Source organism: Homo sapiens, chromosome 19 (genome assembly GCF_000001405.40).
Source record: "Homo sapiens chromosome 19, GRCh38.p14 Primary Assembly".
NCBI lineage: Eukaryota > Metazoa > Chordata > Mammalia > Primates > Hominidae > Homo > Homo sapiens.
The window spans coordinates 47888237-47900622 of NC_000019.10; the positions used below are offsets into that span (position 1 = coordinate 47888237).

The following is a 12386-nucleotide window of genomic DNA, read 5'->3' on the forward strand; positions in this document are numbered from 1 at the left end:
TTCCCTTATTACCACCCTGTACATCACATTTAAGTATTTTCTTTATAAATATTTTAGAGCAAAAAGAATTTATTTTGTTGCAATGGTGGCCCACATCTGTACAAAACAACCTAAACAAGATATATATGTATATATATATGCATATATATATGCGCATATATATATGCATATATATAAAATGATTAAGAAAAAGTGCAAAGAATAACAGTATTAAGAATTTTTGCATTTTATAGTAACTGTGGTTCAAGCGTGAATATCTATCAGCGATATATAATCCCAGGTTTTACTTTTTAATTTTATTTATTTATTTATTGTTTTGAGATGGACTCTTGCTCTTGTCACCCAGGTTAGAGTGCAATGGCATGATCTCGGGCTCACTGCAACCTCCGCCTGCTGGGTCCAAGCGATTCTCTTGCCTCAGCCTCCTGAGTAGCTGGGATTACAGGCGCCCACCACCACGCCTGGCTAATTTTTGTACTTTTAGTAGACATGGGGTTTCACCATGTTGGCCAGGCTGGTCTCAAACTCCTGACCTCGTGATCCACCCGCCTCGGCCTCCAAAAGTGCTGGGATTACAGGTGTGAGCTACTGCGCCCGGCCAATCCCAGGATTTAATTAAAGATTCAAAAACAAACCACACTCCAAATTACTGCACAAACATCGGTCCCTTATCAAGCAAGTCTGCCCTTCTCCTGAATCTAGTATTTCCAGTTTCTAAACTCTTCCCAAACAGGAAAAAAATATTTTTAATACGCCTCATTTTTTAGGGCACTTTTAGACTTACAGAAAAATTGCAAAGAGAGTACAGAGAGTTCCCATAGTCCATACTTAATTTGGATTTCCTTAGTTTTTATCTCATGCTCGTGTTTTTTTTTTTTTTTTTTGACAGAGTTCTCTCTTTGTTGCCCAGGCTGAAGTGCAGTGGCATGATCCTGGCTCACTGTCTCATGCCCTTTTTTTGCCCCAAAATCCCATCCTGTATAGTACATGACATACACTCATCCTGTCTCCTTGGGCTCCTCTTGGCTGTGACAGTTGTTGCTCAGACTTTCCTCATTTTTTTTTTTTTTGAGATGGAGTCTTGCTCTGCTGCCCAGGCTGGAGTGCAGTGGCACAATCTTGGCTCACTGCAGCCTCTGCCTCCCCAGTTCAAGTGATTCTCCTGCCTCAGCCTCACGAGTAGCTGGGATTACAGGCACGCGCCACTACACCCGGCTAATTTTTGCATTTTTAGTAGAAACGGGGTTTCACCATATTGGCCAGGCTGGTCTCGAACTCCTGACCTCAGGTGATCCGCCCACTTTGGCCTCCCAAAGTACTGGGATTACAGGTGCGAACCACTGCGCCTGGCCGACTTTCCTCATTTTTGATGACCTTGATGGTTTTGAAGAACACTGGTGAGGCATTTTGTACAATGTTCCTCCTTTGGGATTTATTGCAGGTTTTCTCATCCAACAAATGAGTTCATGGGTTTTGGAGAGGAAGGTCACAGAGGTAAAATACCATGATCATCACACCATATCAAGGGGACTTATTAGCAACATGACCTGGCACTAATGATGTTGACCTTGGTCACCAGAGGTCACTTGACTTTTCTCCCTCTTCCCTTTCTATGTGGCCATATTTTAAACATAAACTCTAGGCCTGAATATATTAGTGAGATAACATTATATGAACCCCAAATGAGGGACAGTCTGCAAAATGACGGGCCTGTACTTTTTAAATTGTGAAAAAATTTTTTTTTTTTGAAACGGAGTCTCGTGCTCAGTTGCCCAGGCTGGAGTGCAGTGGCACGATCTCAGCTCGCTGCAAGCTCTATACCTCCTGGGTTCACGCCATTCTCCTGCCTCAGCCTCCCGAGTACCTGAGACTACAGGTGCCAGCCACCATGCCCGGCTAATTTTGTGTATTTTTTTAGTAGAGACGGGGTTTCACCGTGTTAGCCAGGATGGTCTCGATCTCCTGACCTCGTGATCCGCCCTCCTCGGCCTCCCGAAGTACTGGGATTACAGGCATGCGCCACTGCGCCTGGCCTATTATTTATTTTATTTTATTTTGAGATGGAGTCTCACTCTGTTGCCCAGGCTGGAGTGCAGTGGTGCAATCTCAGCTCACTGCAACTTCCGCCTCTCCAGTTCAAGTGAACCTCTTGCCTCAGCCTCCTGAGCAGCTGGGATTACAAAGGTGTGCCACCATGCCCAGCTAAGTTTTGTACTTTTAGTAGAGATGGGGTTTCACCATGTTGGCCAGGCAGGTCTTGAACTCCTGATCTCAGGTGATCCACCTGCCTTGACCTCCCAAAGAATTACAGGCATGAGCCGCCACGCCTGGCCATACTTATATCTTTTTTAAAAAGACAAAGGATATTATTATTTGACAGAAAAGGGAAATAAAAGGACCATTAAACCATACAATTGATTATTAATCATACCTGTAATCAGGGAAATACAAATCAAAATCACAGTAATGCATGTAGGTTGTCACTTCTTATACGTTAGAAGAAAAAAATGGGATGATACTACCTGTTGGTCAGGCCGTTCGAATTTGGGGGATCTGTTCATTTGCATGGTGGTATTGGAGGAGAGTTTCAGAAAGTAACTGGAGTTGAAACTTGCAGAGATATATGTCCTTGGAGACATTTTCATACATGGACAAGGAAACTCGAAAAAAAAATGTGTATTTCAACATTGCAACCGTGAAAAATGGGAAACCAGTTGAATTTGGGGATGAATGATTAATTTAAAACACAGGATAAGTTATAGAATATGTGGAAGATGACACTATAGTTGAATGAATGAATGAATGAATGAATGAATGGGACTTACATCTGTCAGCCTGCACACACTCAGCACAGAATGTTAGAGGAACAGGCAGATTCCTAATTATGAAGAGATGGTGCTCAGGCCACGTTCACAGGCACAGAGCAGTGGGGAGAGGTGCCATGATCGTAAACACCACGGGCAGGAAGTTGCAGAACAATTTCACCTCTGGAAAGGGGAGCAGAGCAGCAGACTCAGGAAAGACTTTAGAAGAAGCCTCAATTGTGTTTTGACTTTCTCACTGGAGTCTTTATCTGAAGCCATAGGGCAAAATGATAGCCTTAAAGAGTTTTGTTGACATGCTTTTCTTTTCTTTTTTTTTTTTGAGACAGAGTCTTACTCTGTTTTTCAGGCTGGAGTGCAATGGCGTGATCTCGGCTCACTGCAACCTCCACCTTCTGGGTTCAAGTGATTCTCCTGCCTCAGCCTCCTGAGTAGCTGGGATTACAGGTAGGCACCACCATACCTGGCTAATTTTTGTATCTTTAGTAGAGATGGGGTTTTGCCATATTGGCCAAGCTGGTCTCAAACCCCTGACCTCAAGTGATCTGCTTGCCTCAGCCTCCCAAAGTGCTGGGATTACAGGCCTGAGCCACCGTGCCCAGCCTGTTTACCTGCTTTTCTATATGTGTGAGACATTTCATTATAAAATGAATAGATAAAACCTAAACATGGCTCCACGTGGGCACTGGCAGATTGGCTGGGATGAGCTCCTGAGATCTTATCTCCAGCATCTGGTTTGGGTTCTTTCCATGTCTGGCAGTAATCTCTGGAGCTGGAAGAATCACTTCAGCTGTGGCCCAGAGTGAGGCCTCTGAGGAGCTGATCTGGGAGAAGATGTCAATGTCCCCCCAGGGCTGAGATCAGGGCTGTGGATAGTGAGAGAGGAGGTAGGAAGAAAGTGGTCAGACAGGCAGTTAGGGTGAGTCCTTGGTAAAACTCCTTCAAACGAAGAACAGCCTGAAAATCCAGCTGCAGGCCCCAGATAAGAAAGAGCTCACATCAGCAAAATTTCTTCAAATCAAGAACAGCCTGAATATCAAGCTACAGGCCCTAGATAAGAAACAGCCCGCGTCCTTGAATGGAAATGCCTGCTCTGTGAACCTAGATAAACAAATTCCACTCCTTTTTTGGACACATTTTCCTCCCTTTGATGCATGTTTGTCTCATTTCACATGCTTCCTCTGGATTGATCCTTACCTTTCACCTATTTTACATATACTTATCTTTCTGTGATTGGCCGTGGGCAAAATCCTCATTTGCATAAAGTGTAACATCACTCCAGCCCCTAATTGGTTGCAGGCCAAGCCTTCACCTCAGCCTCTAATTGGCTCTTTTCACTGTTGTGTGTCTTTCTGAGTGGCCCACAGACCAGTCAAGCACACTCCTCCCACTTCCCAGTCCATAAAACCACTGAACTTAGCCCTGCAGCCAGCAACTCTTTGTCGGGTCACCTCTCTTTGTTGAGAGCTTTTCTGTCACTTTCGCTTGATAAATCCCACTCTGTCCTACTCAGTCTCCAGTGTCAACGTTTCTTATTCTTCTTGGTTGTGGGACAAGAACCTGGAGCTTGCTGGTGGTGGGAGTAAAAGAACTACAACACTCCCTCCCATTCACTGAACATCAGTAGTGAAAAAGCTGCAACAGGGCTGGGTGTAGTGGCTCACGCCTGTAATCCCAGCACTTTGGGAGGCCAAGGTGGGTCAGGAGTTTGAGACCAGTTTGGCCAACATGGTGAAACTCCGTCTCTACTAAAAATACAAAAAATTAGCTAGGCGTGGTGGCGGGTGCCTGTAATCTCAGCTACTTGGGAGGCTGAGGCAGGAGAAACACTTGAACCCGGGAGGCAGAGGTTGCGGTGAACTGAGATCATGCCACTGCACTCCAGCCTGGGCGACAGAGTGATACCCTGTCTCAAAAAAAAAAAAAAAAATTGCCCCTAGTTGAGAACCACTGTCTTAGATGTAAAAGCTGTTATTCAGACAAAGAGGACGGGTGAATGCTGGTGTCATCAGCAGAGAGAAGGGTAGAGTTCATCTCCTGGAGGCACATTTAGAATAGATGCCATCTTTCACATGGGCACATACTTCCATTTCACATTCATTCTTTCTAAAAGAACTAGATTATAGGCCAGGCGCGGTGGCTCACACCTGTAATCCCAGAACTTTGGGAGGCCGAGGCAGGCAGATCATGAGGTCAGGAGATCGAGACCATCCTGGCTAACATGGTGAAACCCTGTCTCTACTAAAAATACAAAAAATTAGCCGGGTGTGGTGGCGGGTGCCTGTAGTCCCAGCTACTCAGGGGGCTGAGGCGGGAGAATGGCATGAACCCGGGAGGCGGGGCTTGCAGTTAGCTGAGATCACGCCACTGCATTCCAGCCTGGGTGACAGAGCAAGACTACGTCTCAAAACAAACAAACAAAAAACTAGATTATAAAATTCTAAAAGCAATCATATAAGCAATCATGTATTTTAAAGACAATTATAATAATACTGCCAACAACAAGATTATGTTATTTAGTTTTCACAGTGACCATGGGAAGGGTAAGAAATTATTTTACTTTATTTTACAGATGATGAAACTGAGACACACAGATCTTAAAGGATACTTTTGAACTTTTAAAGTCAGTATTTCTTTTGTTTTCTTTTTTTGTTTTTTTGAGACAGAGTTTCACTCTGTCTCCGAGGCTGGGGTACAGCGATGCGATCTCGGCTCACTGCAACCTCCACTTCCTGGTTCAAACCATTCTTGTGCTTCAGCCTCCCAAGCAACTGGGATTACAGCCCCCCACCATCATGCCTGGCTAATTTTTGTATTTTTGGTAGACATGGGGTTTCAACCATGTTGGCCAGGCTGGTCTCGAACTCCTTACCTCAGGTGATCTGCCTGCCTTGGCCATCCAAAGTGCTGGGACTACAAGGGTGAGCCACCACACCCGGTCTAAAGTCAGTATTTTTTCTTTTCTTTTCTTTTTTTTTTTTTTTTTTTTGAGATGGAGTCTTGCTCTGTCACCCAGACTGGAGTGCAGTGGCGTGAACCTGGCTCACTGCAAGCTCTGCCTCCCGGGTTCACGCCATTCTCCTGCCTCAGCCTCCTGAGTAGCTGGGACTACAGGCGCCCGCCACCCACGCCTGGCTAATTTTTTTGTATTTTTAGTAGAGACGGGGTTTCACCATGTTGGCCAGGATGGTCTCGAACTCCTGACCTCGTGATCCGCCCACCTCGGCCTCCCAAAGTGCTGGTATTACAGGCGTGAGCCACCGCGCCCGGCCATAAAGTCAGTATTTTTTCATCCATAAACATTTAGATGAAGATTATTTCGTGCCAGACATTCTAAGTACTTTACAAAACATTAAATGATTTGAATGTTTCTAAGAACTCTATGAAGCAGTTAATTTTTTTTTTTGAGACAGAGTCTCGCTCTGTCTCTCAGGCTGGAGTGCAGTGGCGCGATCTCAGCTCACTGCAAGCTTCACCTCCTGGATTTTACGCCATTCTCCTGCCTCAGCCTCCCAAGTAGCTGAGACTACAGGCGTGCACCACCTATGCCCGGCTAATTTTTTTTTTTTTTTGTATTTTTAGTAGAGACGGGGTTTCACCGTGTTAGCCAGGATGGTCTCAAACTCCTGACCTCGTGATCCTCCCGCCTCGGCCTCCCAAAGTGCTGGGATTACAGGTGTGAGCCACCGTGCCCAGCAGCAGTTAATAATATTTTCCTCATTTTACAGATGCAGGATCTGAACCACAGAGAGGTTAGGTTGTGGGCTCAAGAACACACAGCAAACAAGTTCCCACCTCAAACTGAAACCCAGAACATGTGCTCTTAATCACAACACTGTTAGGCTCCCTTTTCTCCCGCAGGAAAAAAATGATTAATTAACTCATCCTTAGTTACAGAGTTAGTGACCCAGCTGTGGCTGGGCATGTTGGCTCATGCTTGTAATCCCAGCACTTTGGGAGGCCGAGGCGGGCGGATCACCTGAGTTCGAGACCAGCGTGGTCAACATGGTGAAACCCTGTCTCTGCTCAAAATACAAAAATTAGCCGGGCATGGTGGTGCTGCACACCTGTAGTCTCAGCTATTCGGGAGGCTGAGGCAGGAGAATCGCTTGAACCTGGGAGGCGGAGGTTGCAGTGAGCCGAGATCGTGCCATTGCACTCCAGCCTGGGCACAGAGTGAGACTCTGTCTCAAAAAAAAGAAAGTGACCTAGTTGTGATTCAAACTCAGGTTTAGTCCTTTGAATTTGTGCTGAGTCATCATTCTGCTAATGGAATTGGAAAACTTAGAACATTTGTTCCAGGAAGGAATGTTAGGAAAGAAACAAGTGGTCCTGGCAACATTTTATAGTACTTAGTTTAGAAATCAATTTTTCAGTATCCTTCAGTTGCAAAATACAGATTGTGAAATTATTAATGTTCTGTTTTCTTTACTAGTACCTAACAAACCACCCCCAAACTTAGTGGCTTAAAGTAGAGATTTGGCAAACTTTTTTTTGTTTGTTTGTTTTTGGTGGAGGGAGGGAGTGAGGTGGCTCCCTGACCCAAGGTCTTCCATGGTCCAACCTCCCTCACCGCCATCCCACCTGCAAAGGGAGGGCACAGAACTGTTTTCTGTTCTATGACTCCATAGGGCAGACTTTTTTTTTTTTTTTTTTTTGAGAAGGGCTAGAGAATGAATATTTTCAGCTTTGAAGGCCATGTTTCTACTACTCTGCCATTACAGCATGAAAACATTATGGACAATACATCCATGAATGAGTGTGGCCGTGTGCCAACAAAACTTTGCTTACCAAACAAGGTAGTGGGCCCGATTTGGTTTGTATATGGTAGTTTGCTGACTCCTGGCTTAAAACACAATTCTGTGGTTCTAGGGCTTTACTGGGCTCAGCTGAGTGGTTCTAATTTGGAGTCTGTCATGATACTGCAGCCAGATAATATCTAGGGCTGGGATTGTTTGAAGACTTCTTCACTCACATGGCTTGCACCTGGGCTCTGAAGGTTGGAACAGCTTCGGGCTGGTTGGACATCTGTATCTTAAAGATGCCTCTCATACTCCTATTCCAATTTCTTTTATTCCCCCCATTCCGATTTCTAAAAATAAAAGAAAAAAATTAAAAGATGCCTCTCTGTGTGACTAGCTTGGGCTTCCTTACAGCATGGCCGTCTCCCAGTGAGGATGCTCCAAGAGACTTAAGGTGATACTTTCAATGTTTCTTAGGATCTGACTTTAGGAGTCACAGGCATCACTTCTGCTTTATTCTATTGGTTAAAACCTAGTCATAGGTCCAGTCCTGATTCAAGGGGAAGGAATGACACAGGGAATAAATACTGGTAGATCGCTCTTTGGGTACCATCTTTGGGAACAAGCCACCAGTTTGATTTTTCAGAGAACTTGCTGACTTCCAGATGCTAATATTCTTGTGGCCCAGTAAAGATCACACAAACCCAAATAACATGGCCAGGATGGAAATACATACCTTTATGTGATAACTGTTCATAGCAGAAGGTTTTATACCCTCCCTTTGGTAGACAGTTTACTGGAGAAATCTGAAAAGAATGCTATTGATAAAAATTCACTTTGACTGTAAGAATTGTGGTTATTTGATAGGTTTTTGGATGCTCACGTTGAAACAGAGTGGAGAGTTGATATGTAGGTTGAGAAATAAACATTTAGTCTGGACAATGTGTGTGCATTATGGGAAGATGTGTTAAGCCCTGGCCAGGCCTGCTAGCTTCAGAGAGCTAGCTCATGGGTCAACTTCAGACTCTGGAAGAAGGACTTTCACCCCACTTTCCATCTGCACGCTATGTCAAGTCAGGGGTCCCTGATATCTGTGGTCCAAGCTCTACAAATGCGTGTGTTCACTGTACAGCAGGGGAAGTGTGCCTTTGAGTTTCTGCTAAATAGGCTTAATTCCACCTGCCACAAGCTGACAAAGACCTGAGATCAGGGCTTCATGCTATCTAGTTATCTCCCTGTGTACCTTTGCCCTTTCCATTTACCTATAAACGGCATGCCTGGGCAACGCACCAGGATCTACTTCCATCAGGTTGGTGGAAAAGTAATTGCGGTTTTTGCCATTACATTTATGACATTGCAATTACTTTTTTTTTTTTTTTTTTTTGAGACGGAGTCTCACTCTGTTGACCGGGCTGGAGTGCAGTGGCATGATCTCGGCTCACTACAACCTCTGCCTCCCAGGTTCAAGCAATTCTCTGCCTCAGCCTCCCGAGTAGCTGGGATTACAGGCACCTGCCACCATGCCCAGCTGATGTTTGTATATTTAGTAGAGATGGGGTTTTCACCATGTTGCCCAGGCTGGTCTTGAACTCCTGACCTCGTGATTCACCCGTCTCGGCTTCCCAAGGTGTTGGGATTACAGGCGTGAGCCACCATGCCCGGCCTTTTTATTTTTATTGATTTTTTTTTTTTAGGTGGGGTCTCACTTTGTCATCCAGGCTGGAGTGCAGTGGCACGATCTTAGCTCACTGCAACCTCCGCTTCCCAGGTTCAAGCGATTCTTCTGCCTCAGCCTCCTGAGTAGCTGGGATTACAGGCATGTGCCACCATGCCTGGCTAATTTTTGTATTTTTAGTAGAGATGGGATTTCACCATGCAACCCCAGCTCACTGTAACCTCTGCCTCCCAGGTTCAAGCAATTCTCTGCCTCAGCCTCCCGAGTACCTGGGATTACAGGCACCCGCTGCCATGCCCAGCTAATTTTTATATTTTTAGTAGAGACAGGGTTTCACCATTTTGGCCAGGCTGGTCTGGAACTCCTGACCTCAGGTGATCCACCCATCTCAGCCTCCCAAAGTGGTGGGATTACAGACGTGAGGCACTGCACCCAGCCAAGAAACCGCAGTTACTTTTGCACCAACCTAATAGGAGCCATTCCTGGACATTGGTCCCGTTTTTATTTTATGATCCAGGGGCTCCATCTGGATTTGCAGGAAGAGAGAACAGAAGTTTCACACTGATTCCAGGCCAAAGCCTTGAGCGCTAGCACCCGTTGGCAGAGGACTCCTGCATTTGCAGGATATTTAGGAACGCCCTGGCAACAACAGAAGTGGAACATTCCTCATTTTTCACTGCCCTTCTGACGCTGTGCACGTAATTTTTTTGTAGAAGGAAATAGATCAAATTGTAGGAGTTAGGAAGCAAATGCCTGAGGTTGAATGCGCTCTGTATTTGGTATCTGCTGGATGATAGGAAATGGGTTTTTTTGTTTTGTTTTGTTTTTGTTTTTGTTTTTTTTTTGAGACAGAGTTTTGCTCTTGCTGCCCAGGCTGGAGTGCAATGACGCGATCTCGACTCACTGCGACCTCCGCTTCCCGGGTTCAAGCGATTCTCCTGCCTCAGCCTCCTGCGTAGCTGGGATTACAGGCATGCGCGACCATGCGTGGCTAATTTGGTATTTTTAGTAGAGACGGGGTTTCTGCATGTCGGTCGGGCTGGTCTCAAACTCCCGACCTCAGGTGATCCACCTGACTCAGGCCTCCCAAAGTGCTGGGATTACAGGCATGAGCCACCTCGCCCAGCCAGGAAATGGTTTTATTGTGGACTTCTATTTTAGTCCCCCACCCCCAGGAAGTATAATCCCTCTAACTGCCTGGATGGCTCCCATCCTGTTTATAAGACTCCAGGGAGGGAATCATCAGTCTCGTTTCAATCTATAGATTGGTGCAAAAGTAACTGTGGTTTTGGCCATTACTTTCAATGGCAAATCTGCAATTACTTTTGCACCAACCTTAATAGGGTTCCTAATTGTTAGGATGTATTGCAAGACACTATAGTGGCATAGCCCAGATGGGGCAAACAGAATATGTATGGTTTGTTTCCTGACTCTGAGCAGTCAGCAGTCGATGCACAGAACTCTGCACGCCCCTCCCCCCACAGTGTCTATTCCGGTTCAAGCATGCCTACTGAAACACTAATTTAAGTCCTTTAATTTCTACCGGTTGACCCTGATGATGTCTGTGATGTTTAGACTTTTGTGTCAGCTTGGCTAGCCTGCAGTACGCAGTTTTTTGTTTTTTTTTAACAGAATCTTGCCCTGTCGTCCAGGCTGGAGTGCAGTGGCACAATCTCAGCTCACTGCAACCTCTGCCACCCGGGTTCAAGCAATTCTCCTGCCTCAGCCTCCTGAGTAGCTGGGATTACAGGTGCCCGCCACCACACCCGGCTAATTTTTGTATTTTTAGTAGAGACGGGGTTTCACCATGTTGGCCAGGCTGGTCCTGAACTCCTGACCTCAGGTGATCCACCTGCCTCAGCCTCCCAGGCATGAGCCACTGTGCCCGGCCCAGTACCCACTTGTTTAATCAAATGCTAGCCTAGGTGTTGCTGTGACAGTATTTCGTAGACACAGTTAACATCTACAATCAGTTGATTTTAAATAAAGGAGATGAATGGCGATAACCTGGGTGGGCCCAAGCTAATCAGTTGAAGGCCTTAAGAACATAAAGAGGTTTCCTGTAGAAGAAATTCTGCCTGAAGACTGCAGCATCAAATCCTCTCTAAGCTTCCAAACTTCCAGCGTGCCCTACAGATTTTGGACTTGCCAGCCTCTACAACTGCATGAGTCAATTTCGTCAATTTCTTTACTCCTCCCTGCCGTGTTTTTTTTTTTTTTGAAACAGAGTCTCGCTCTGTCGCCCAGGCTAGAGTGCAGTGGCACGATCTCAGCTCACTGCAACCTCCGCCTTCTGGGTTCAAGCGATTCTTGTGCCTCAGCCTCCCAAGTAGCTGGGATTACAGGCGTGCGCCACCATGCCCAGCTAATTTTTGTGTTTTTAGTAGAGACGGGGTTTCCCCATACTGGCCAGGCTGGTCTTGAACTCTTGACCTCATGCAATCCACCCACCTCTGCCTCCTAAAGTGTTGGGATTACAGGCATGAGCCGCCGTACCCAGCCCAATTTCTTGAAATCAATCACTTTCCTGTTGATTCTGTTTCCCTGGAGAGTGCTAACTGTCCCCTTATCCTATGCCACAGATTTACTCTTCTGATCCTTTCATTTATTTGATACTCGGTGAATTATACGAACACTAACTATGGGCTGGGCCCCATCTTGTCCAATAATTTCCCCTCTGCATATAAGCCCAGACTCAATTTAAGATCCCTAAAACATGCACCAGTGCCCAGATGTCCTTAATGGAGCTAAGGTTTCAGGCTATTGAAGATGTTAGGAAGGGAGGACAGAAACCAAACACAGTAAGTTCTCAACACAGAATTCAGAATTTCTCTCTTATTCTATATGATTGTTCTTCTGACTACATATATACCTTTTGTGACAAAATACGAACACCTTTGGAGATTAAGTGCTTAACCAGTGGGATTGCTTCATATATCATTATCTGTAGCCTCACTCCCTCAATTATTTCTTTCTTTTTTTTTTTTTTTTTTTTTTGAGACAGGGTGTTGCTCTGTCACCCAGGCTGGAGTGCAGTGGCAGGATCTCGGCTCACTGCAACCTCTGCCTCCCGGGTTCAAGCGATTCTCCTGCCTCAACCTCCCGAGTAGCTGGGACTACGGGCATACGCCACCATGCCCGGCTAAT

At 45.6% G+C, this 12386-nt stretch overlaps 2 annotated features.

Moving 5' to 3' along the window:
• Positions 8636–8930: an enhancer, noted in NCBI's record as "tiled region #10552; HepG2 Activating DNase matched - State 5:Enh". NCBI's record gives its function as "activates a minimal TATA promoter and a strong SV40 promoter by Sharpr-MPRA in HepG2 cells {active_cell/tissue: HepG2}" and the evidence as "EXISTENCE:reporter gene assay evidence [ECO:0000049][PMID:27701403]".
• Positions 8636–8930: a silencer, noted in NCBI's record as "tiled region #10552; K562 Repressive non-DNase unmatched - State 23:Low". NCBI's record gives its function as "represses a minimal TATA promoter and a strong SV40 promoter by Sharpr-MPRA in K562 cells {active_cell/tissue: K562}" and the evidence as "EXISTENCE:reporter gene assay evidence [ECO:0000049][PMID:27701403]".